Below are 27,351 nucleotides of genomic sequence, written 5' to 3'. Positions count from 1 at the left end.
TATTGTAAGAATTATATGGAGATTTCAAGCCAGCAGCAGTGTGTTGGGAAAAAAAATGATATGGAGAAGCAAAGCATGTCTATGGGCAGAGGTGGCCCTCAGGCTGCCAGCCTGCCATCTCTGCTCATATGTCTTAGTAATCCAACTCAAGCATCTTCCTGTAGGAGCTTTTCATGATCCTTTCCCCTTCCCTTGAGAGTTTAAACCATCCCCTCATTCTTCTGTCTTAGAAAATACAAGTTTGGCCAGGCGTGGTGGCTCGTACCTGTAATCCCAGCATTTCGGGAGGCCAAGGCCGGCAGATCACTTGAGCCCAGGAGTTTGAGACCAGCCTGAGCAACACAGTAAGACCCTGTCTCTACAAAAAAATTAAAAAAAAAAAATTAGCTGGGTGCAGTGCCTCATGGCTGTAATCCTATCTACTTGGAAAACTGAGGTGGAGGAGGAAGATTGCTTGAGCCGTGGCTGTTGAGGCTGCAGTGAGCCAAGATTGTGTCACTGTGCTCCAGTCTGGATGACAGAGTGAGATCCTGTCTCAAAACAAACAAACATTCAAGTTTTGGCCAGAGATGCAGCGGCTCATGCCTGTAATCCCATCACTTTGGGAGGCTGAGGTGAGCAGATCACCCGAGGTCAGAATTTCGAGACCAGTCTGGCCAAGATGGTGAAACCCTGTCTCTACTAAAAATGACAAAAATTAGCGGGGCATGGTGGCGCATGCCTGTGATCCCAGCTACTCGAGAGGCTGAGGCAGGAGAATTGCTTGAACCTGGGTGGTGGAGGTTGCCGTGAGCCCAGATGGTGCCACAGCACTCCAGCCTGGGTGACAGAGCAAGACTCTTGTCTCAAAAAAAAAAAAAAAAAAAAAATCAACTTTATAGTTTTTGTGCTTTTTAATGTCTGATTCCTTGAGGAGAAGCTTCTGGGGTCAGTATGGATTGTGTTTTACTCGCGTTCTCACCCATCAAGCCTCAAGGTGCCATTCACAGAGTAGGTGGTCTCCAGAGCCCAGCACAATGCCTGGCACGTGGTAGGCACTCTGTAAGTGCTTAGTGAAGGAATGCTATTAGAGAGAGCTTCTGAGCTGAGGGCACACCTAGCCTAACCCAGTTTTAATCGTATATAGAGAGAAGGGTTGAGAACTCTTCCTTGCCCTTGCTTCGGTTCCATCAATGGGTAGGGCTCTGTTCAGGTGTCCTTGTTGATGAGCTGGGCCCCAACATCGTTGGAGCAAGGGTGACGAGGATGGGGGTCATTCCAGATGAATTGCCCTCATTGACCGAAAAGCAAATGCAACGAAATAAAAACCAAACCACACTTCAACAACAGTGTGGAACAGCACCCCCTGCAGGCGCTTTCCTCGCAACTTTATAATCCCTCTGGAGGAAAATCCTATCTGAATTGAAGAAGGAAGGGAAGAATGGGAAGATGGTAACAGGAACTGGGCTAGGGAGAAGCTCATACTGTCAGAGTTTTAAAATGGCAAATGATGACCCCTTAGTGGATCATGAAATCAATTTAACAATGTTCACTATTTGGATAATGAATACATTTAATGACCAGACTTGACGACTATGCAATGTATACATGAAAGAAATCCTCACTTGAGCCCCCTGCATGTATAAAAATTTAAAAATAGTAAATAAGAAATGAATTTAATGAATCATGATGAGCAATTTCACAAAATGGGCTGGCACAGAAAATATCAAAGTGTGTTGCAGATGAAGTATTCTTTTCTCTCTCTCTCTCTCTCTGTGTGTGTGTGTGTGTGTGTGTCTGCACTTGGACGATACGGGAAATGTATCTCAGTGAGTTAAAAAGGTTAGAAAGCCCCACTGCATTGCCTCCTTAAATCTCCATAGTAATCCTAGGAGGTGTAGGTTAAAATTCCATTTAACAGATGGGGAAAATTGAGGTGTTGCAGGGACTTGCTTAAACTCACACGGTGAATAGTAGTCATGAGATTCAGCACCAGAAACCTTTTGATACCATAACCTGGGCCGCCTCTGCCCTGTCACTGCCCCAGTCGAGCCAGGTGCCCGGCGCTTTCTATTTCTCTGCTGCTGGTGACCAGAGCAAATTTCCTTAGGGAAATAAGGAAGGAAGGAGAGGTTACCTCTTACTTTTGCCACTTTCCTGGGGCATAATGCCAAGGGGTAAAAGGCACCATGAGTATCGAGACAGTGGATACAGAAACAAATCCTTGTCCTCCAAGGGGCTTGGTAAAACATATATTCTTTCTCTTTCTTCTGGAAAGTTTCGTAAGACAAGTTAGTAATATCTGTGCTTGTAAAGTAGACTTTGGTTTTGGGGAGAAAATGAGGGCAGAGCGGCTGGGCACGGTGGCTCACGCCTGCAATCACAGCACTTTGGGAGGCCGAGGCGGGTGGATCACCTGAGGTAGGGAATTCGAGACCAGCCTGACCAACATGGAGAAACCCCGTCTCTACTAAAAATACAAAATTAGCTGGGCGTGGTGGTGCATGCCTGTAATCCCAGCTACTCAGGAGGCTGAGGCAGGAGAATCTCTTGAACGCGGGAGGTGGAGGTTGCAGTGAGCCGAGATCGTGCCATTGCACTCCAGCCTGGGCAACAAGAGTGAAGCTCCATCTCAAAAAAAGAAAAATAAATAAATAAAAATAAATAAAGAAAATGAGGGCAGAGAATGAGGCAATGATGGTGCACAGGAGAAGAAATGGGTTAGCGTAAGCTTTGGCAGTCCTGTGAATCCCTACAAGCCAGAGTTCGAATTCTGTCACTGCGCTTGACTGGGTGTGGTGCCTTAGAATTACGTCACTTAACTGAGCCTCAGTTTCTCAATCTGCAGAAAATGGCAACAACTATAGCTGTCTCCCAGAGCTGTTCCTAAAGGTTAAATGACATTGCAGGCACTCGAAAATGGTAGCTGCCTGTTGATGTTAAGGTTAACAGTGTTCTGGCTGGGCATGGTGGTTCACACCTGTAATCCCAGCACTCTGGGAGGCTGAGGTGGCCAGATCGCTTGAGCTCAGGAGTTCAAGACCAGCCTGGGCAACATGGCGAAACCCCATCTCTACAAAAGATTAACCAGGCGTGGTGGCACATGCCTGTAGTCCTAACTATTCAGGAGGCTGAGGTGGGAAGATCGCTTGAACCTGGGAGGCAGAGGTTGCAGCGGGCTGAGATTGTGCCACTGTACACTCTATAGAGAGGGGCTATAGAGAGAGACCCTGTTAAAAAAAAAAAAAAAAAGCAGTATTCTTTTTAAATTAAAAAATTTTTAATTTTTTTTTATTTTTCATCACAATAAGATCTAATCCAAAGCACCATTCTTTGAGACCAATCTGGGCAACAAAGTGAGACCTCATCTGTACAAAATAAATAAATAAATAAAAAGCCAAAAAACACAAAAAAACCCAAAGCCCTTTTCTTTGTCTCAGAGTCTCTGGTTTCTTCATTTCATTTCCTCAAAGTGGAACATCATTGCCCACCTCAATCCTTGTTCAAGGATTCCATGAGAGAATGCACAGTACAGCCTAAGCCCCGTGCTGTGGTGGGCAACCTGGTGACGTCCACACGTGGCAAGCCTTATCACTGGGGGTACAGCCGAGGCTGGGAGGTTCTGCTCCATGCTTTCTGCCTGTGGTCATTGCATCTGGATTCCCAGTCTGCAAAATAAAGCGGACTCCTTTCTGTGCACCTCCGTCCAAATGTATTTAGAACGTCGATGCTTTCGGAAACCCTTGCCTGTGGGCCATGTTGGAGTTCTTACCCTCGCTGCAGCTCTGGAGGGTGGGATGTGAGGGAGGGAGCAGACATTGGAAACTGGCCAGGGGACTTCACAGACCCAACAAAGACTTGTTTTCAAGGGTTGATTTGGTAATAGGCAGAGGGGAATTCCAAGGATAAATAATAATTTATGCAAGGAATGCCATCTGCTTCTCTGGTGAAGCATTAGTGCATAATTGCAGGCGCAATTTCCTTCCAATCCTGTCCTTTACCATTCAGCATCTTAAGTCATTATATTGACACCTCCCGAGCTGGTTTTTTGGGTGAGTGGAGAGGCATGGGGTGTCCAGCTTGGATGTTGGCTGAAGACAGTTTGCCATAAAACTGAAATAATTAATTGGAATGCATTAGAAGATTAAACACTAAATAGGAACTCATTGAAGTTCTGGCCAGTATATCCAAATATTGTGCTGGAAATTAATAAAAGCTGACTTCACTGGAGATATAAAATTGTAAATTAAATTTGGTCTTTGAACAAAGAATCTGTTATAGGGCTCTCTAATTAGATTAGGAATCAAAAACTTTATGCCCCACTCCCTCTCCATGCCACCCTAGCCTGACTTTGGCATCTTTGAGAATGTTTTGGGACTCTTTATTTATGTATGAATTCTTCTGTCTCTCTTCATAGCTTGGATAACTTCTTGCAGTGGTGGTGAGGGGTAAAGTGGGTTTAGGCAGGGCGAGGGGGAGGTGGGAGGTTTTGAAAGTCATGCTAAAGTACTCAAAGCAGAGGCAGCAAACTTGCTTGAGGACCAAGTCTTGCTTACTGGTAGGTTGGCTTGGATGACAGGTTTTGACCCTCTCAGCATTTATAACATTTAAAAATAGGTGCCAACACTTACAAGTCAATAGATTTCACATTAACAATCTGAATTTGTGCCTTTCCTTAAACAGGCAGATTTGGTAATTCTGGAACTGCATTCAGAAGTGGATGGAAGTTGAGGAGCAGCCGATTTCTTTTAAAAGGGCCAGGAGCTGTTCAGTTTGCCCCAGTCTCCACCGCTCCCATATGCTCAGCCCACTTAATTCATCCATAGTCCCTTTCTGGCTTGTGCCTGTCCTTCGTAGGCATTTGTTCCCTGATTTAAAAAGTTTCCTGGTATATTCATGGTTCTGATTATAAGGAAGAATTGCATTCTCAGAAAGAAGGTATTTTTTAAAAGTTTATTTAATAATGGTGATACTATTTTAGCTAATATTAGACATATATGTGCTCATGCACCTGCCTCCCTTTTTAGCTTTGTAATGGCAGCCTTATTGAGATAAAGTTCACATGCCATAAAATTCATGCACTTAAAGTGCATGGTTCAACAATTTTTAGTTATTCACAGGGTTGTATAGCTATCACCACAATCTTATTTATTTGTTTTGAGAGAAGGGGTCTCGCTCTGTCACCCAAACTGGTGTGCAGTAACACAATCATAGCTTACCGTGGTCCCAAACTCCTGAACTCCAGAGATCCTCCCCACTTCTGGCTTCTGAGAATCTGGAACTGCAGGCATATGCACCTGGCTAATTTTAGAAAACCTTTTAGAGACAGGGTCTCACTATGTTGCCTAGGCTGGTCTTGAACTCCTGGGCTCAAGCCATCCTCGCACCTCAGCCTCCAGAGTAGCTGGGATTGTAGGTGTGAGCTGTAGTGCCTGGCCACAATCAATTTTACAACGTTTTCATCACCCTCCAAAGAAACCCTGTACTTATTAGCAGTTACTCCCCATTTCCCACAACATATTCAGCCCTTGGCAAACATCAACTTACTTTCTGTCTTTATGAGTTTGCTTATTTTAGCCATTTCATATTAATGGAATCATACAATGTGTGGTCATTTGTCCTGGCTGCTTTAATGTGGCATAATCACTTCAAAGTTCATCCGTGGTATAGTATTATCAGTACTTCACTTCCTTTTATTGATAAATAATATTTCATTGTATGGATATATCACATTTTATTTATCCACTCATCCATTGATGGGCATTTGGGTTGTTTCTACTTTTTGGGGATTGCGAATAATACTGCTATGACCATTTCTGTACAAATGTTTGTGTGAATATATGTGTTCTTTTATCTTGGGTCTATCTATCTATTGATGGATGGAAATGCTGGATCATATAGTTTTGCTTTTTTTTTTTTTTTGAGATGGGGTCTCCCTCTGTTGCCCAGGCTGGAGTGCAGTGGCACAATCTCCGCTCACTGCAACCTTTGCCTCCTGGGCTCAAGCAGTCCTCCCACCTCAGCCTCCCGTGTAGCTGGGACCACAGGTGCATGCCACCACGTCCAGCTGATTTTTGGTATTTTTGGTATTTTTGGTAGAGGCAGGGTTTCACCATGTTGCCCAGGCTGGTCTTGGAATCCTGAGCTCAAGCAATCCACCCACCTAGGCCTCCCAAACTGCTGGGATTACAGGCATGAACCACCACACCCAGCCTTCATATAGTAATTCTATTCTCACCATATGAGGAAATGTTGAACTGTTTTTCAAAGTGGTTGCACCATTTTATTTATTTATTTATTTTTATTTTTATTTTTTTTGAGATGGAATTTTCCTCTTGTTGCCCAGGCTGGAGTGCAATGGCACAATTTCGGCTCACTGCAACCTCTGCCTCCTGGGTTCAGGTGATTTTCCTGCCTCAGCCTCCCGAGTAGCTGGGATTACAGGTGCCTGCCACCACACCTAGCTAATTTTTTTTTTTTTTTTTGAGAAGGAGTCTTGTTCTGTTGCCCAGGCTAGAATGCAGTGGCATGATCTCGGCTCACTGCAACCTCTGCCTCCCAAGTTCAAGCGATTCTCCTGCCTCAGCCTCCTAAGTAGCTGGGATTACAAGTGCCCACTACCGCACCAGGCTAATTTTTGTATTTTTTAATAGAGACAGGGTTTCACCATCTTTGCCAGGCTGGTCTTGAACTCCTGATCTCATGATCCACCCACCTCGGCCTCCCAAAGTGCTGGGATTACAGGTGTGAGCCACCACGCCCAGCCACGCCTAGCTTATTTTTTGTATTTTTAGTAGAGACAGGGTTTCACCATGGCCAGGCTGGTCTTGAACTCCTGACCTCAGGTGATCCTTGGCCTCCCAAAGTGCTGGGATTAGAGGCGTGAGCCACCGTGCCCATCCAGCACCATTTTATATTCATGCCAGCAGTATATGAAGTTTCAATTTCTCCACATCCTTGTCAATACTTGTTGTTATCTTTCTTTCTCTATTTTTCATTATAGTCATGTCAGTGGGCGTGAAGTGGTATCTCACTGTGCTTTTTGACTTGCCTTTCTTTTTTGTTTTTTTGTTTCTTTTGAAGCAGAGTCTTTTCTGTTCACCCAGGTTGGAGTGCAGTGGCACAGTCACGGCTCACTGCAGCCTTGAACTTGAGAGCTCAATTGATACTCCTATTCCAGCCTCATGAGTAGCTGGGACAGCTGGGACTACAGCCATATGCCACCATGCATGGCTAATTATTGTATTTTTGCATAGAGAGTGTTTCACCATCTTGCCCAAGCTGGTTTGAACTCCTGGGCTCAAGCAATCTGCCCTGCCTCAGCCTCCCAAAGTGATGGGATTACAGGCATGAGCCACCATGTCCTGCCAACATGGAGCAACTTTCCATGTGCTTATTGGTCATTTGCCAGGCCTGTTGTAAGTGCTTAGGTCTAGCAATGCTTTACTCCATGACAGCCTTGGGGATAAGTACTATTGTTACTACCTTTTCCTATCACATGCCAGGCTCAGACTTTTAGTTGCAAGCTTTCTTGTCAACAAATAAAATGAATACTATTCAATGCAAGGACATTTTAGTTCCGACTCAACTGTCAATGTATAGTTAGCACTTAATAGTCAGTGCCTCAGTAATTCCTATTTATCCTGTTTTTCCTGACTCAGAAACTTTGTACATGCTATTTTTTTCCTTGATTAATTATTTCCTTGGTTAATTTAAAAATTTAATTTAAATTTTCCATTTAAATTTTTGTTCTGGCTGTTTCTGCTTTAATATTATTATTATTATTATTTGAGATGGAGTCTCAATTTGTCACCCAGGCTGGAGTGCAGTGACACAATTTTGGCTCACTGCAACCTCCACCTCCCAAGGTTCAAGCGATTCTCCTGCCTCAGCCTCCTGAGTAGCTGGGACTACAGGCATGCACCACCACACCCAGCTATTTTTGTATTTTTAGTAGAGATGGGGTTTCACCATGTTGGCCAGGCTGGTCTCAAACTCCTGGCCTCAGGTGATCTGCCCATCTGAGTGCTGGGATTACAGGCATGAACCACCACACCTGGCCTTTCCTGGCTATTTCCTTGTTTAATTTTTTCCTTGACTAATTTTTGTTTATCTTCTACATTTTCAGAGAGGCTTTCCTGACCTTCCTGTCTAAATTAGGACCCTTATTCTTTCTCACAGCCCTGTTGATTTACCATAATAACATTCATTTATTTTTGTGCCCTTATATTTTCTTATCTTTCTTTTAAATGAAAGTTTTTGTTTTATAAATTTGTAATCATGCTATAAATGTTCCTTTGAATCTGCCTTTTTTCCCATTTCACATTGTGTTACAAAAATTGTCAGCATCATTGAAAGCAAATGTTAAATGGCTGCAAAATAGTCTATTAGGTGATTATAAAATACCTCATTTAATCATTTCCTTTTTAAAATTTGAAGTGTGTCATTGATTTGCTATGGTAAATAACACTGATATGAACATCTTTGGGAATAAATCTGTTCTTAATTTTTAGGATACTTTTCTTAGTATAGAATCCAGAATTATTGAATCAGAGGCATTTGTAAAGTCCTTGATTCATATTACTAAAGCTTGAGGAAAAAAGGAGATGTTGTAATTTGCACTGCCTCAGGAATATATGAGAGTGCTACACTAATGAGACTCATGTCAGTACTGTTTATTATCATTTTAAAAACAGCTTTGCTGTAGTCTGCATTTCTTTGATTTACAGTGGAAGCACATCTAATAATTGCACAAATGACAGAAACACATCTTAACTGATACTCCAATTAAAAAAAATAGATAGTACATTATTAGTGCATTTTCCTAAAGGAGCCCAAGAAAGACTGAATAGGAGCATTTGTAGGTGAGGATAAGAGAATGAAGTGACCTGAACAGGCTCGAGAAAATTGCTGATGATGGGATTTGCAGATAAGGCAGAAGGACACATGGCTGGACTCTCAGTCTGCAGCTCATTTTTTATGCCTTATCAGAATAGAGGGCTGCTCCCCTGTAGATGATGGCTACACCTGGCAGTGTAATAAAAAGTGCTGTGGGTGGATGGGAAGCGCTGTGGAGATGGCTCCTGGTGCAGAAGACACAGAACTGAAGATGCTGACAGTTGCAATGAAAGGAGACTTGGAGAACACTGAGAGGTTAGGAGTTTTCAGACATTTTATTGGATTTATTTTATTTTATTTTTTTTCTTGAGACAAGACCTCCCTCACCTCTGTCACCTGGCTGAAGTGCAGTGGCATGATCGCGGCTCAACGCAGCCTCAACCTCCTGGGCTCAGGTGATCCTCCCACTTCAGCCTCCTGAGTAGCTGGAACTACAGGTGCACACCACCACACCTGGCTAATTTTTGCAGTTTTTTGTAGAGATGAGGTTTCACCATGTTGGCAAGGCTGGTCTTGAACTCCTGGACTCAAGCGATCCACCCATCTCGACCTCCCAAAGTGCTGGGATTATAGGCATGAGCCAACACTCCCAGCCTTTATTTGGTTTACTTTACAAGTGGACTATGTTTTTTTCTCTGTAAAATCTCAACATGAAACCTGGGGTGGGGATGGACAGGGGAAAACAGAAGGGTGATTTGGTCCACTCTCTCACTCATCAAGGGCCTTGAGATATTGGCCATTATCTCTGGGTGAGATTATTGTTATTATTATTTTAAGATGAAGTTTCACTCTTGTTGCCCAGGGTGGAGTGCAGTGGCACGATCTCGGCTCACTGCAACCTCTGCCTCTCCAGGCGAGATCATTAATGCAGTCCCAGAGACATACTGAAAGGATGGAGAGATTTTCAGCCTTTGACTCTCCAATAAGCACTTACATGTATTCATCATTTAGTCCCCACAGCAACCCAATCAGATCAGTGCCCATTTTATTTACATTTTACAAAAGAGGTAACTGCAGTGTGGGAATGTTAGCTTGCCTGGGATTCAAGAATAAATGGTACCAAGGTGGGCAGATCACTTGAGGCCAGGAGTTCAAGACCAGCCTGGGTAATGTGTCAAAAGCCAGTCTCTACTAAAAACACAAAAATTAGCTGGGTGTGGTGGTGCATGCCTTTAGTTCCAGGTACTCAGGAGGCTGAGGCACGAGAACTGCTTGAGCCCAGGAGGCGGAGGTTGCAATGAACCAAGATCATGCCACTGTACGCCAGCCTGGGCATCAGAGTGAGACTATCTCAAAAAGAAAAAAAAAAAAGTAAATGGTGGAACAGGGATTCAAATTCAGGCAGTGTGAAGAGGACAGGATGGAGATTTTGAAACTGGAGAGCATGAGCCAAGCTTAAGTGGGTTATCACTGGGAAAATGTGGTTCATTTTGGTTCATCTCTAAAGCTAAATTTTTATTGAAGTTGATATTAGCCAACCTTGGCTTCCTGAAAGATATCAATTAAATCAAGCAGTTGAAGTAAGCGGAAGAGATGGATGGCAGGGAAGGTCAGGAGACCCTCATTTATCCATTTGAGAGCAAGAGCCTGAAGAAATCAATAGGACATTCCTGTTAACTGTCCATTCACTTGTTCTTCCTCAGATTGGTAATTTCTGAACTAGGCAGTGTCGTGGTTAGAGAAGAGAGGACATCAAGTTCCAATGCTGTTGTCCCTACTCCATAAATCTGTACTACTCAAACTCTCTCAGCCTTCATCTTCTTATCTTTAAAATGGGGATAATAAATACCTCATGGAATTCTTGGGAGGAATAATTAAGATAATGCATATAATGCGCTTATAGTACTTGGCGCATATTATGTGTTCAATCAATGTAAACTTAATATTTAGTAATTTTTTTTCAACAAATGTTCACTTAGCTTTACTTGTGCGTTATTGGGTTGGTGGAAATGTCTTGGATGACCCACTAATGGATAAGATAAACTTCTGAGGGTAAAGGTTTTAGGTGCAAAACCCTCTTATCATGAAATGTGTTTAAAGGTAAGTTTGGAGGGATAGGACTGTATAACTTACCTATGATACAGATAGCTCAGGAGAAAGAGAATGGCCACAAAGTCCACTGAGAAAACAGAGTAAGCAAGGTCTTCTTGACATGGATTGTGAATTATGTGTCTTTCATTTTTATTTCTTTTGAGACAGGATCTCTCACTCTCACCCAGGTTGGAGTGCAGTGGTGTGATCACGACTCACTGCAGTCTTGAACTTGCCAGGCTCAAGCAATCCTCCTACCTCAGCCTTCTGAGTAGCTGAGACCACAGGGATGTGAAGAGACAGGGTCTCACTATATTGCCCCGGCTAATCTCGAACTCCTGGACTCAAGCAATCTGCCCGCCTCAGCCTGCCAAAATGCTGGGATTACAGGTATGAGCCAAGGCGGCCTATGTGCCATTTAGCTGTCTAAGATGAACAAAAGGAAACAACCAAAACACTAACACTTCTTTGTTACTTAAAGTCAAAATGAGGACCTCTGTCAGAAAGCTACATTTACCCTGTCTCTGAGAAAGCAGAGTTGAATGAACTGGAAAGAATTTGGGCCATAAAACAAGGTCCCTGAATTAGCAGATCACCTTCTGTGAATAAATCATCTAAATATTACATCAGAGCTCAAGCAAAATTTTGTGTCTCTGAAGTGACACTTTGAATCACTTTTCCTGTGATTAAAAAAAAATGGCCAGGCGCGGTAGCTCACGCTTTTAATCCCAGCACTTTGGGAGGCCGAGGCAGGCATATTCCGAGTCCAGGAGTTCGAGACCAGCTTGGCCAACATGGCAAAACCCTGTCTCTACAGAAAAATACAAAAATTAGCCAGGCATGATGGCACACGCCTGTAGTCCCAGCTAATCAGGAGGCTGAGGTTTGGGAGGATCGCCTGAGTCTGGGGAGGTCGAGGATGCAGTGAGCTGAGATTGTGCCACTGCACTCCAGTCTGGGGGGTCAGAATGAGACTCCATCTCACTATATTGGAAGGCAGTGGCTGATCACAGCTCACTGCAGCCTCGACCTCCCAGACTCAAGTGATCCTCCCATCTATCTCAGCCTCCCTAGTATCTGGGATTACAGACTTGTGCTACCACACCTGGCTATTTTTTTCTGTTAAGAGATGGGGTCTCACCATATGGCCCAGGCTGGCCTCAAACTCCTGGGCCCAAGGGATCCTCCTCCCTTGGCTTCTCAAAGTGCTGGAATTACAGGCGTGAGCCACCATGCCTGATCCTATTAAGTAATGCTTTTAAAAAATATTGGATTTGGCTGGGTGTGGTGGCTCATGCCTGTAGTCCCAGCACCTTGGGAGGCTAAGGTGGGTTAATTGCTTGAGGCCAGGAGTTCAAGACCAGCCTGGCCAACATAGAAAAGCCCCGTATCTACTAAAAATGCAAAAATTAGCCAGGTGTGGTGTTGCATGATCCTGATCCTATTAAGTAATATTTTTAAAAAATATTGGATTTGGCTGGGTGTGGTGGCTCACGCCTGTAATCCCAGCACCTTGGTAGGCTAAGGTGGGTTAATTGCTTGAGGCCAGGAGTTCAAGACCAGCCTGGCCAACATAGAAAACCCCCGTCTCTACTAAAAATGCAAAAATTAGCCAGGTGTGGTGGTGCATGCCTGTAGTCCCAGCTACTTGGGAGGCTGAGGCATGAGAATTGCTTGAATCTGGGAGGTGGAGGTTGCAGTGAGCCAAGATCATTCCCCTGCACTCCAGCCTGGGTGACAGAAAGAGATCCTGTCTCAAAAAAAAAAAAAAAAAATCAGATTTTGTACAAAAATTATCATATAAACAGCTACCAATTTTGCAGTGTGTGTCACATGCTAATTCTAAACCTAGAGCTTGATGCATCATTATTTCATTTTAATCACACAGCACTCAGAATCATCCTGATTCTAATTTTATAGATGAGAAAACTGAGGTTAGAGAAGTCATGATTTACCTGAAGACACAGAGTTAAGAATTAGAATCAGTCCTGGTGCGGTGGCTCATGCCTGTAATCTCAGCACATTGGCAGGCTAAGTCGGGCGGATTGCCTGAGGTCAGGAGTTTGAAACCAGTCTGGCCAACATGGTGAAATCTCATCTCTACTAAAAAAAATACAAAAATTAGCTGGGTATGGTGGTGGGCACCTGTAGTCTCAGCTACTTTGGAGGCTTAGGCAGGAGAATTGCTTGAACCTGGGAGGTGGAGGATGCAGTAAGCCGAGATTGTGCCACTGGACTCCAGCCTGGGTGACAGAGCAGACTTCATTAAAAAAAAAAAAATACAGAATCGGAATCAGCCTAGACAAGTCTTGTCTGATGCTCTAGGAGTAGGAAGGTGGTTCTAGTCTCAGTGTTGCTCCAGACACTCTGGATGCCCTGCATTGGCTAACTCAGCCTGTCTTCTCTAAAGTAAATGTATGTGCTCTGCTGCTCCACAATGTTCTTGTCAGGATCAAATCCAATACTGGACAGAAAAACCCTTTGGATTTCTCACATTTCTGGTTAGCTCTGTGGACAAATCCCTTTCTCTCCAGGCTTCATTTTTGCATCTGTGCATTGGGACTAGCTGCGTTAAACTCCCTTCCAGCTCTGAAAGTGTAGAATTTTGCATCTTCACACTTCTCCCGGTTCCTCGGTGGTGAATTGGAGACATTGGTTGTCACCAGGAGAGGAAGGGAAGCTGTGAATGCTTCCATCTGAGCTTTGGGTTTGAGTAATGTTGGTAATTTCAAAGCCTCATTCTCTTGCTCCCTAATGTTCTGCTTCTAGATAACTGTAGTTTTAGGAGAGGGGAGCTTGAATAACGATGCTGGAAATAGTTCCGCTGGGGAAGGTGAAGGGTATTTGGAGTTTTTAATTTAGCACATAGTGGCCAAATGCTGCTCAGAGTTTGTCCCTGGAGCACCAAAGTCCCCATCAAGAACTATGCAGTGTTTTGGAATTGAGCCTATTATTAAGTGGGCACTGAGTGGCAGAGGATAATATAGCAAAGAGTGGGGGAATACACAGTAGTTACCAGCTTGGGCTTGGGGGTCCAACAGCTTGATTCTAATCCCTGTTCTCTTACTCCACAGCTTTGTGATCTTAAGTTCTCCAGGGCTAGTTCTCCATGTAGCTAAAATGGTAATGTCTTCCTGAGTGTCTTAAGAAAGGAAACGAGATGTTAAGCTTGAAGGCTGGTGCCTAGTTAACTGTTATCCAATTCAGGCTCTTCAGAGGGTGGTCTAGTCCTTCAGGAGGCCAGGTGGGCTTGGAAGCTGCTCTGAGTTGACCTTTCCAGCAGAGCTGTGATGTCTCACTGAGCTAGAAACTTAAACTTCTTGGGCAAGAGTTGCACCACAGTGTTTTTCTTTTCCTACAGGCAAATCTAGGCTGGGCAAGGGGAGGGGGCTGCCAGGTATGGCCTTATATACGTTTCATCCTCATAACACCGTAACATTGTTACTCTTATCCCCATTTTATGAAAGAGGAAATTGAGGTGCAAATAGGTAAAACTTGGCAAAGATTACAGAGCTAATAAATGGAGGAGCTGGGTTTCAGAACTATGGCAAGTCGTTGTTTCATACATAACAGATTCCTAATGAAAATCACTGATGAAAAAAAAAACAGAATCACTGATGCTAGACCTCTGCACCCCCAAGCTTCTACCCTGCCAGTGGCTGCAAATAAATGACAAGAAGCAGTTTAACTGAACTGCTCTTGACCATTCAGAATTGCTCTAAGGTTCAAGGAGAAAGAAACTAAATAATATGACATGAAAGACTGATTGTAGATATGGCAGAAATTCATGCACCCTACAACATGCCTCTGTGGCTGTGCTGTCAAAAGGTGATAGCTGTTTCCTTCCCCTGGATCTGGGTTGGCCTTGTGACTTGCTTTGGACACAAAAATGAGATGGAGTTGATGATGTACCAGTTCCAAGCTTAGGCTTCAAGAAGCTTTGTACACTTGTGTTCATTTCTGCTTCTTCTTTCTTGGAAATTTGCCCAGGCACTGTGGAAACAAACCAGGCTAGATTTTTGGGGAACAAAAGATCATGCATATCAAAGCAAAGATGCTCCAGCAAAAGCCAGCCAGTCTATAGAGGCAGAACTGCCTTGTTGAGCTGACCGTAGCCCAGCCAAGACTAGAAGAACCACTCAACCGAGCCCAGTCGAAATTATCCACCTGTACAATTGTAAGCTAAATACATGCATGTTATTTTAAAACATTACTTTTAAAAATTTAGGGATAATTTAAAATTTGTGGGAAAGTTGAAAAGATAATATAGCTGTCACCTGGTTTCAATTACTCCTAATTTATCATCACATTGTTTATGACAACTAAGAAACCAGCATTTGCATGTCACTACTAATTAAGCTGCAGATAATTTTTTCAATTTTGCCAGTTTTTTGCTAATACCCTTTTCACTATTCCAGGATCCAATCTAAGATACCACAATGCGTTTAGTGTCATGTTTTATTAGTTCCCTTTTATCTGTAACAGTTTCTCAGTCTTTCTTGCTTTCATGACAGTTTTCTTTCTTTGCTTTCTTTGACAGTTTTGAGGAGTACTAGTTAAGTATTTTGTAAAGTATCCTTCAATTTGTGTTTGGCCGGTTTTTTTTTTTTTTATAATTAGACCAGGGTTTTGGGTTTTTGGGAAAAAAAATACTACAGATGTGAAGTGCCCTTTTCATCACATCAGGGGGTACATGATATCCAGTTGACATCAATGGTGATGGATATCAGCTTTGAACACTTGCTTAGAGAAGTGTTTGCCAGATTATTCCACTGTAAAGTTACTATTTTCCAAAGGGATTACATGCTGGGGTGGGTTATTATGACAATTCCTCCTGTTCGTGCCTTTCTAAATCTCATTTTTCCTATTTTTTGGACTGTTTCCCAACTTTAATCTCTTGCTTTGACAATCCATTGTAATACTGCTTTCAGATTGACAGTGCTAAAGCAAAGTTCTACATTAAAAGTTTTGCTTTTTTTTTTTTTTTTTTTTTTTTTTTGAGACAGAGTTTCAGTCTTGTTGCTCACCACTGAGCCTGGCTAATTTTTGTGTTTTTAGTAGAGACTGGGTTTCATCATGTTGGCCAGGCTGGTCTCAAACTCCTGGCCTCAGGTGATCCACCCGTCTTGGCCTCCCAAAGTGTTGGGATTACAGGCGTGAGCCACTGCACCCGGCCCGCTTTTTAAATTCTAAGAATCTTCCTAGGTTCTGCTCAAATGCCCCTATCTTCATAAGCTTTCCCTGGCTCACTCTGTAAACTCTTATGGTATTCATTCACTCATTCATCCATTTTAGTGAGCACTACGTAGGCCCTGGGCCACAAAGATGAACCAGACAAAATCCCTAGTCTCATGAAACTTGCCCGTAGAAAGATACACAATAAATCCAGGAGTCAAATAATTTAAAAATAAATATGTAACATTTGTCTTCTCTGATAACCATGTTCTTGTTGTAGAGGTGGTAGGTTCTAATCTCCCATGCATCTCAGTTAACTAATCAGCTGAGAACGAATTAGTAAATATATATCATGCATGTACCATGAACCAGGAATTGTGGTCGATGTCTACAATAGAATTTCTGACATTGCTGTTGGAGTCACTGAAAGCAAATGTTGTATCATCCAACCCGTTCTATCATTAAATCGTATAACAGGGACAGGGGAAGGGCTGCTTATCAGTAACAGAGCTGGGACAATGATCTATGTTCATATACTTCTAGCTTGCGGTTCTTTCCAATTTGTCCATTGTTCTCTTGGCTAATGAAAAGGAATGGCTGTCAGACTTGAAAGGCAAAAGGAAATGTACTATCTCAGTTATGGGGATGAGAGATCAGGATGACATTTACCCAGAGACTGACCATTCTCTAGGGTCAGATTATGAGGCCAATTGGTATCCCCTGAATTGAGACTTCCCTGGAATTAAAGCAGTAATCACCAAACTTCCCCATTTGACCTAAGACTGGGCATCCTATCTATTTATTTGTTTTACATTTCCCCTACTGGAATATAAACTCCACAATGGCAGAGTCTTTGTGTGTCTTCACTTCTATATCTTAAGCACCTAGAACAGGGCTTGTTATTTAGTAGGAGTTTAATACATAGGTATGTATGAACACTGACTTGGGAAAGACAGAGACACCAAGGTCAGTGACATTTTTTTATAGGACAACTTCACTGTGTCCTTTACTTAGCATATTTATTGGCTGGGGCTCTTTCAGTTGTATACAGTAGAAACTAGTATCTAATAAGCCTAAGCAAACAAAATATTATACAACACATTTTTAAAATCTTAAATTTATTGCTTACCCAACTGCATGTTTCCTTCAGGTACAGTTGGATCAAGGGCTTTGGTCAACTCCTAAAAACTCTGCCCTTTCCTCTTGGCCCAGCTTTCCTCTGGGCTGGCTTCATTCTCAAGCAGGCTTTCTCTATATGGTAGTGGTTGGTTACAGGAGCCAAAACATTCCCTATTTTGCTTGAAGCCAGTGGGAGTTGGGTTTCTGTCACTTGCAAAAAACAAAACGCATTGACTAATACTCTTTTACCTAATCAGAGCCTGGCATGGTGCAGGTATATGAAATGAATGCAGCTGAGGCTGCACTTGAGGAACCTGAGTTCCTATGTTACCTTGGATCCAGCTCACGGATCATCTCTGCCTAAGCTCAAGTCCAATGGCTTATGAATGAGATTCTACCCTGGGCATATTTCGCTTAACAATATAAGCTTATGTGATGGTTCCTCCTGTGGGAATCAAAAGGCCTGTGTGTTAAACACTCAGTTTGTTTGAAAGCCGCTGAAATTAGAATATTTCTTTTGTTCTGAAGATAACCCATCATAAACCAGTCGAAAAGGTGGGTGTTCTCAGTTTTTCTTAAATGTGGAGGTGGGAGGATCTCCTGCAGTTTTTTTTGAAACCATCATATGAGGGCTGCAGCAGTAACCTCCAGATTTTTCAGGAATACCTAGGGCTTCTAAAGATCCCCATCATGACTCAAATTTCAGATGCTACTACTTTGTTGAAGAAAGCATCCTGCAATTGCTTTAACCTGTTGCTACTCCCAAAAAGCCTATACTAAGGTTCAATGGTGTTCATTTTTTACACAGATATTAAAAACTCAAGAATGAGGCCAAGGAGGCCGGGTATGGTGGCTCATGCCTGTAATCCCAGCACTTTGGGAGGCTAAGGTGGGTAGATCACTTGAGGCCAGGAGTTCGAGACCAGCCTGGCCAATGTGGTGGAACCCCATCTCTACTAAAAATACAAAAATTAGCCAGGCATGGTGATGTACACCTGTAGTCCCAGCTATTTTAGGAGGCTGAGGCACGAGAATAGCTTGAACCTGGGAGGCAGAGGTTGCAGTGAGACGAGATCATGACACTGCACTCCAGCCTGGGTGACAGAGTGAGAATCTGTCTCAAAAAAAAAAAAATGAGGCCAAGGAAAGTTGGGGAGTGTTGCACAGTTGTACTTAGCACTCACCAAATACCCAAGGGGCTGCCTATATCTCCTGGCTTCCCTTGCAGGAAGGCTGGTGCCAGTGATTAGTTCTGGCCATGGGCTGTGAGTGGCAATGATGTGTGTTATTTCACAGCCAAAGTCATTAGGAGCTTTGTGTCTCCTCTTTTTTTCTTTTCTTCTTTGGGGTGACCATAGAATTGTTCTATTGGGATGATGGAACCACAGGATGAAAGAAGTCTGAATACTGGAAGTGCCAAAGAAAGCTGCACTGCAGAGTTGCTTGACCAGCAGTGGACTTGTGTGAATAAGAATCAAATGTTTTTTCTTTCTTTCTTCTTCTTTTGTTTTTTATAAGCCACTGAAATTTCAGGCTTTATTTATTATTGCAGCATAGCTTAGCCTATCCTGAGCAATAAAAGCCTGCACTTCTCCTCCGGTAGATTCTTTGGATGGCTGCTGGCTGAGATTTATTTAAACTAGGAAAAGATCATCTCACAGTATATATTCATTCACCTTCCAGTTCCTGCTTTTCAGCTTTTGCCTTTAAATGACTTTGGAGCAACACACCTGGCTTGAATCACAGCTCTTCTACTGATTTGCTGGTTAACCTTGAGCAAATTGCTTTACATCTCTGAACCTTAGTTACTTCATAAGTAAAAAGTTGAAAATAGTTTGGCTTATTGAGATATTCTACCATTCATTGCTTTTCCCCAAGCTTCTTATCTTTCTCCACTTCAATTTCTTCTTCTGTTAAAAGAGAAAAAACTGTTTCTTACCTCTCTAAGTTGTCTTAAGGATGAAATGAGAAAATACAGAGAACCCAGCCATTGTGCACACTTAGTGTCCTTTGTTGCTACCTTTTCAATCCATTGAGACCTCCTAATTTTTCCTATCACTCTCTGTTTTATTCCTTTCTTTCCCCCTTTCTCAATTCAGACTTAATATATAAAATCTTCTCCTTTTTAAGGAATCCTTGACTCTTTTGAGGTTGGTGTCACTGGTAAAGAATACACTTTCCAAAATAACTCTGAGCAAGTGTGTGTGTGTGTGTGTGTGTGTGTGTGTGTGTGTTTAAACTACACCCAAGTTATGAAAGGAAACGGTTGCTGGGAGTGGAGGGCAAAGTTAAGTCCACACCTGAAAAACATACTTAATATACTGATAAAGACCGAAGGATCTAATCATTTGTCTTGAAGAAAACTGAAACAGTTACCCTGATAAACAGACCAATTGAGAACAATTAAAATCTCAGCCACTTATCTGAAGCCAAACAAGAATAACCTCAGTGAGTTTGAAGGTGAGAAGTCACTTAAGCAGAAACTCAGGGAGCAGGATTCCTTGAGAAGGAGGAAATTTACAGCAATGCTTTTCTTCCATGGTCCTCCATATGTACCAGCAAGGCGTGTACAAGATAGAGAGTAATGGGCAGGAGTGGGCAGGAGTGATCTGTGTGCCAGGTAGGAGTCAGAAGACAAGAATGGCCGAAAACAACGCCAGATAATGACAACCTGGGTTTGCATACAGATTTTCTTTCTTTCTTTCCTTTTTCATTATTTTTGCTTGCACTTTGTGGTTATCCTTGGAAAGATTGGCGCCCTAGAAGGAAGAGTAGAAAGAACCAATTGACTGTTCTCAAAACAAAACAAATCTCAACAAAGGCCCTTTCTTCCTCAAAGACTATTCCCATGGAAAGTAACCAGTGAGCCCACGTGGAATTACCTGACTGCAAAACAATGCCACTTTTCTTAAAGGGAGTTAGTTTTCCACTTGCCCAATTTAAACATGGCTCCACAGAAATTGCTGAAGTCTTCCAAAAGGATGCTGTCCTCAGACTAGAGACCCAGGTAGAGAAATTGAAGGCTGACAGGAGCACTTTTTTTGAGTGAGCCAAAAATACAGGTTAAGAGGGAGCCTCTCTTCTCAAATTATGTTAATAGTCAGATACATTGTTCAGATCTCCACTGTTGAGCCATGAGAGCTTGTTCAACAGCATTTTCTCCAGCGCTCTGAAAGGCGTGTGTTGCTTTGGTTCTGAGAACATTTGAAACCAGCCCAACCTTTTTAAAAAGCACATTTAAATTTTTGGGGGGGTTCTGCTAGTATATATACTTAATAAAATGTATGTGTGATCATTAAAAAGTCAGGAAACAACAGGTGCTGGAGAGGCTGTGGAGAAATAGGAACACGTTTACACTGTTGGTGGGACTGTAAACTAGTTCAAGCATTGTGGAAGTCAGTGTGGCGATTCCTCAGGGATCTAGAAAAAAAAAGCACATTTAAATTTTTTGGGGGGTTCTGTATAATATATATACTTAATAAAATGTTATGTGTGTTGAGATGGGCATGTTTGCCATCTTTCCCGCTGAAAAATACACATCGCCTTTGCACTCAAGGCAAGGAAAGAAACCATAGAGGCATCGTGGAGAAGAATCCCATCCCAGCTGAGGGAGGAGAGCAAGAGATTTGTTTTTTTCTCTAATTAAAATCAAATGTGAGTGATCATTATAGCTTTTTGCTAGTTCTTTCATTCCATATCTCAGGAATCCTTCAAATATAGTAACCCAAGAGAGGTATGGAAGGCTTATCTCACAGAGCTACAGGGAAATACAGACTTTTTTTTCCCCCACAGAAGCTAAATCTGAAAATGTGACTAGAGAACTGTGTTAGGAGCTGCTTGATTATCGTGAATTGAATTCTTGACCAAACAGTGCAATTTGTTTTTTTGTTTGTTTGCTTTTTTGAGACAGAGTCTTGCTCTGTCACCCAGGCTGGAGTGCAGTGGCACAATCTTGGTTCACTTCAACATTCCCCTCCCAGGTTTAAGTGATTCTCCTGCCTCAGCCTCCTGAGTAGCTGGGACTACAGGCATGCGCCACCACACCTGGCTAATTTTTGTATTTTTAGTAGGGATGGAGTTTTGCCATGTTGGCTAGGCTGGTCTCGAATTCCTGAACTCAGGTGATCTGTCCACCTTGGCCTCCCAATGTGCTGGGATTACAAGTGTGAACCTGAATCTTAAAAAAAATAATAATAATAATTAACAAAGCCATCAACCACGGGTTCTCCTAACTCCAGCCTTTGCAGAAAAGTGATTCATTGCCATTGAATCTTTTTAAAGATGAGTGAGATTTCTTCAAATCTTAGTGTATTTTATTTTGTAAAAAAAGAAAAAGAAAAGGCTGAGAGTGGTGGCTCACACCTGTAATCGCAGTACTTTGGGTAACCTGGAGTTTGAGACCAGCCAGGGCAACAGAGTAAGATTCCATGTCTACAAAATTTAAAAATTATCCAGGCACGGTTGCTCACACTTGTAATCCTAGCACTTTGGGAGTCCGAGGCAGGCAGATCACAAGGTCAGGAGTTTGAGACCAGCCTGCCCAATATGGTGAAACCCCGTCTCGACTAAAAATACAAAAATTAGCTGGACGTGGTGGCGGGCGCGTGTAGTCCCAGCTACTAGGGAGGCTGAGGCAGGAGAATTGCTTGAACCTGGGAGGTGGAGGTTGCAGTGAGCCGAGATCATGCCACTGCACTCCAGCCTGGGCGACAGAGGAAGACTCCGTCGCAAAAAAAAAAAAAGGAATTGCCCGTAGAGAAGATGTTAGCCAGGCGAGGTGGCTCACGCCTGTAATCCCAGCACTTCGGGAGGCTGAGGCAGGTGGATCACTTGAGGCTAGGAGTCTGTCTCTACTAAAAATACCAGAATTAGTCAGGTGTGGTGGCACATGGTAATCCCAGCTACTTGAGAGGCTTAGGCACGAGAATCGCTTGACCTCTGGAGGCGGAGTAAGACTGTCTCCAAAAAAAAAAAAAAAAAAAAAAAAATTAGCCAGGCACAGTGGCACATGCTAATTTTTTACTCAGGAGGCTGAGGTGGCAGGATTGCTTGAGCCTAGGAGGTCAAGGCTGCAGGGAGCTGTGATCACACCACTGCACTCCAGCCTAGGCAATGGAGTGAGACCCTGTCTCAAAAACAAAACAAAAATAAAAAAGAACACTATCTATTACACTTCTAAGTCAAAATTTACATCAAGACTTATCACGCTGTTCCTCCAACCAAAGAGGCCCATCTAAGTGAAATTCAGAGATGGCTGAAATTGTAAGATGAATTCTTAGAAGAAAAGGGGCCGGGCGCGGTGGCTCATGCCTGTAATCCCAGCACTTTGGGAGGCCGAGGTCAGGAGTTCGAGACCAGCCTGGCCAACTTGGTGCACATGCCGTGCAGATATGGCTACGAGAAATAAGTAACCAACATGGGCGTTGATGACAAGTTTTGAGACATTTTGTAATCTGTGATCTCTGTACTATACATTTTGATTCTTTCACTCAGAGGTTGACTGGAAGATTCCGTGCCACCTTGCTTCTTGCAGCTTAGAGGCTGGCTGATCTCATTTGTGCATGATTTAGTTTCTCAAGAGCTCCAGACGAAATGGCATCTGATCATTTGTCTCCTGCTTTCTATGTTGCCTCGCATTAATTAAAAGCATTAATCTGTAATTCTCTCATTTATGCAGAAAATATGTTGTGGTATACATACCAACCCAAATGTTTGGCAGTGGTGGCACGGACATAAACAAGACATGGCTTTTAGCCCTCAAGACACTGTGTCTATAAAAAATAATTTTAAAAAATTAGTGAGGCATTGCGACACACACCTATGTTCCCAGGTATTCAGGAGGCTGAGGTGGGAGGATCATTTAAGCCTGGGAAGTTGAGGTTGCAGTGAGCCGTGATTGCAACCCTGCACTCCAGAATTGGCAACAGAGTGAGACCCTATCTCAAAAATTAAATAAATAATAAAAAATAAAGGGAGAAAGATTCATGTAGAAATGATTGCAAAGAGAAATGGTGAGTGCAATGAAGGGGATTAAAGCCATAGTGCATGGTGGCCCGAAGGTGTCTGCAGTCAGCCTGGGTCTTGGTGATTCTCTCCTGTTTGTCATGTCTGTGTCACAGATTGAGGGACATTATAAGAAGTGCCTGAGCTGGGTGCAGTGGCTCACTCCTGCAATCCCAGCACTTTGGGAGACTGAGGTGGGCAGATCACAAGGTCAGGAGTTTGAGACCAGCCTGGCCAATATGGTGAAACCCCGTCTTGACTAAAAATACAAAAATTAGCCGGGTGTGGTGGCGGGTGCCTGTAGTCCCAGCTACTTGGGAGGCTGAGACAGGAGAATTGCTTGAACCCAGGAGGTGGAAGTTGCAGTGAGCCGAGATCGTGCCACTGCACTCCAACCTGGGTGACAGTGAGACTCCATCTCAAAAAAAAAAAAAAAAAATTGCCTGTAGAAAAGATGTTAGCCAGGCGAGGTGGCTCATGCCTGTAATCCCAGCACTTTGGGACGCTGAGGCGGGTGGATCACTTGAGGCCAGGAGTCTGTCTCTATTAAAAATACCAAAATTAGCCGGGCATGGTAGCACATGGTAATCCCAGCCACTTGAGAGGCTTAGGCACAAGAATCGTTTGAACTCTGGAGGCGGAGGTTGCAGTGAGCCACGATTGCTCCACTGTACTCCAGTCTGGGCGACAGAGCGAGACTCTGTCTCAAAAAAATAAATAAATAAATAAAACAAATAAATAGAAAAGATATTGTGGAGCATGTTGTTCAATTTTTGTACATTGTGTGTCTCTTTAGGAGATCCCCAGAGGCAATTGTCCACCTGACTTCAGAATCAGAAGTAGCTCTGCTTTTCCTGAGAAGTGGTGCGGGTTTTGCCTTATGGATGCTAACTGAGACTGGAACATGTTCCCTTTTTTGTATCAGCTGCTGGTACAAAATTGAGAGTTGAGAGCCAAAACTGTACCCTTATCACCTGTCAGTAACTTAAGGTATGTGTAGAGCCACAGACAGGGTCTCGCTCTGTACTCTGTTATAATTTCCTGCACTTGGTTTTTATTTTTTATCTTTCATTTTCCATGCCTTTTAATTTGTGTCATTTTTGCTCTATTTAAAAAAAAGCCTCCATAAATATTTCTAGTATAAGGCAGACTATATATATGATAATACCATATAATGATAATAACAAAACCCTCCCTGTCTCAGGAGGGGACAAATGATAGGGGAGGTGAATCGGATGGTGGAGCAGGATATTTCAGGCAGAATGAACACCATCTCAAAAAGCAAAGACATGTGAAATGGACGTGAGTTCTGGCTTCCATTTTTGTGTCATGAAAGGAATTCAACTAACAGCACATTCCCCCTCACCCCCTTAACATTGTCTTCTTGTTCTATCAAGTGCATTCTGGATATTTCTAATGTCTTCGATTAGGAGGAACAAGCTTGGAGGAGGTAATCACAAAGCAGCTTTCTCCAGCTTACACCATCCAACCCCTTTTAAGTCCACTCTGGGGGCTTGTTAATCCCCATGGCCCTAGAAGAAAACTCAGGCAGGCCCCAGGACTTTCCTAGGCTCTTTTCACTTTATCATAAAGAAATGTCTCAAATGGAGGAATTAAATTCCCCTTTCTCATGTAATTCCAAATTGATTACAGTTGAGGCTTTTGCCTTCTCCTTGCTCAAGAGGGAAGCCTCAACTGGGGAAGGGCTAGAGATGGTTTCTTCTATCTTTGCTAGTTTTTCCCTCCCCCATCTCCCCAGGGATGGAGCTCAGGGAAGGAGTGAGTAGAGGAGCAAGAAATTTATTCCTTGGCTGACTTTGGCATGGAGATTGTAGTGCCACGGGAGCCCCTCGCATCCACTTTTTCACTCCATCTCTTGCTTCAGCGAACAGCTGTAATGGGATTCGCTTGGAAACATAGTGTATTCTTTGCTTTCTGCTCTAGGGCCTCTTTGCTTCCACCCTGCAGCATCCCAAAGGAACCCACTCAGCCTTTCTGATGCATGCATGAGAGCATTGTAAACCCATAGAGCAATTTGACCATCAGGGTGGCAATTGGAGGACAAATGCTTCCTCTTTCTTTGTCTCAGAAGGTCAGTCTTGCAGAGCATCCTACAAAGCTCCTTAGCGAGCCCTCTGATGAGATTGAGCCCCAGTTGCTCACAGAGCAATGAGTTCAATGAGGCAACCTTGGACCAGCTCTTTCTCCTCCCCTTTTACTCTTTCTAACTCCCATTTTTTATTTTAGCGGTCATTTCCCAAAACAAACTACCTGCATGCAAACTCTTGTCTTAAGCTCTGCTTTTTGGAGGAACTCAGGCTATTGGAGAAATCTAGCAATTAGATATCTGTTTAGTTTTTGCAGCAGTTTAGAACTTACTTTCTTCTAGATGCTTTTATGAGTTCATTAGAAAACCCTATCCCTGGGGATTTCTCATCCATGGTTTCTTGACAGAGCAATCACCTCTTTATTTCCATGGATCATTATTTTCACCCTTGGCTACTAAGGTAGGAATGGCTACATAATTTGTGGGGCCCAGTGCAAAATGAAAATGTCAGGATCCTTGTTCAGAAAGTATTCAGAATTTCAAGAAGGCAATAGCAGTGCATTACACTGAAGCGTGGGGTCCTTCTTAGTGGAGGACTCTGTGTGGCTGTACAGGCTTCATATTCATGAATCTATCGCTGCCTCTGGCCTTTATACCCATGTTTCCAATTAGGTAACTCCACATCAGGTCTCTCCCAGAGAGCTTCACATTTGGCCCATGAAATGCCACATCCTTTGCCCAGCACTCTGTTGACACTACTGCATTTGCCAGCCTTTTCTAGATTTCTCACTGTAAGTCATATGCAATGCATGAGTTATTATTATTATTATTTTAGAAGTGCGGGCCTCACTATGCTGCCCAGGCTGGTCCCAAGCTGCTGGGCTCAAGTGATCCTCCTGCCTCAGCCTTCCAAAGTGCTGGCATTACAGATGTGAGCTACTGTGCCCAGCCTGCGTCCGTATTTGTGCTAGCCAGACCTCTAAAAGGTCCCCAATGATCCTTGCCTCTTGATTTTTATGACCTCCCATAAAAATTTAGCCCTGACCTCTGTGACCAATAGAATACGGCAGAAATAACAAGGCATTACCTCTGAGAGTAGGTCCTAAAAGGTGTTGTAGCATTTTGGCTTTGTTTTCCTGATTTGCTTACTCAGGAGGAAGTCAGCTACCATGCCTCCAGGACACTCAAGTAACCCCATGGAGATGACATTGCAGAGAAGAACTGGTCGAAAGCCAGTACCCACTTTGCCATCTGTGTGAACAATCCACCTTTGAGTGGGTCCTCCAGCCCACATCAAGCCTTCATATAACAGCAGTCCTGAAGGACATTTTATTGTAACCTCGTGAAAATCGAAGTAGGAACTCACCAGCCAAGTTGCTCCTGAATTCTGCAGGCGTAAAACCGTGAGAAATTACAGATCATTATGGTTGTTTTGAGTCACTGAGCTTTGGGATGATATGTTACGCAGCAAAGGATAACTAATACAGTATTAGAAAGCAAGCCTTCCTTTAGGTAGGAAACAGCTCTTTTCAAATAAATCTTCAAGCATCCTGTCTCTCAATTTCCATGCTTCCCATGGACCAGACATGGCTGGTCATCTCTGAGAGACATTTGAAGGGTCATGTTAGATCCTGATGAAGCAGGCTGCCTGGAGGGACCATCTAACCCCAGGAGAGAAAAGCTGCAGTTGTCTGGATAGCATTGATCCTGTTTCTACACTCAACTCAGTGTGAGAGATTTTAAAAATTTAGTGTGAGAGATTTATATAGATATCTTTGCCACTTATTTTTATTTTTTATTTTTCTATCTTGTTCTAAGGTTTCATTTTAGAATATGCCTCAGCTTTCATTTTCATCACCAGTTATATTTTCTTACCCAACTTGAAAATCAATGGAACCACTGTCTTGGGATATTTTCCTCCTCCATATCCTCAGTGATACCATCTCTGTGAATTGGTTTCGGGAAAACTTCTGCGTTGCAGAGCTTAACGGATTTAGAGTAACGACATTCTTATGACAGCCAAATTGGGTAGCCATGGCCTTGGAAAACTGAGAAGTCAAAAATAGTAGGAATATTCATTATAAAACGGAAGTCTGGAA

General features: G+C 43.0%; 1 long non-coding RNA gene across 1 annotated transcript in view, besides 1 other annotated feature; it reads left to right on the top strand.

Moving 5' to 3' along the window:
- CASC11 (cancer susceptibility 11) overlaps positions 1–26,637 on the top strand; it is a 33,360-nt gene extending 6,723 nt beyond the window's left edge. The window contains exons 2-4 of the long non-coding RNA NR_117102.1: positions 11,077–11,298; positions 24,002–24,195; positions 26,406–26,637. This is a non-coding gene — a long non-coding RNA (cancer susceptibility 11). The remainder of the gene's footprint in view (positions 1–11,076; positions 11,299–24,001; positions 24,196–26,405) is intronic.
- Positions 21,347–21,847: an enhancer, noted in NCBI's record as "H3K4me1 hESC enhancer chr8:128717643-128718143 (GRCh37/hg19 assembly coordinates)". NCBI's record gives its function as "activates a minimal SCP1, AML or CMV promoter by ChIP-STARR-seq in primed H9 embryonic stem cells {active_cell/tissue: H9 hESC(primed)}" and the evidence as "EXISTENCE:reporter gene assay evidence [ECO:0000049][PMID:30033119]".
- Positions 26,638–27,351: the final 714 nt, after the last annotated feature.

This window comes from Homo sapiens, chromosome 8 (genome assembly GCF_000001405.40).
Source record: "Homo sapiens chromosome 8, GRCh38.p14 Primary Assembly".
NCBI classification, from domain to species: Eukaryota; Metazoa; Chordata; class Mammalia; order Primates; family Hominidae; genus Homo; species Homo sapiens.
Note: the sequence above shows the minus strand (reverse complement) of the source record. Positions and strands in the feature narration are given on the sequence as shown.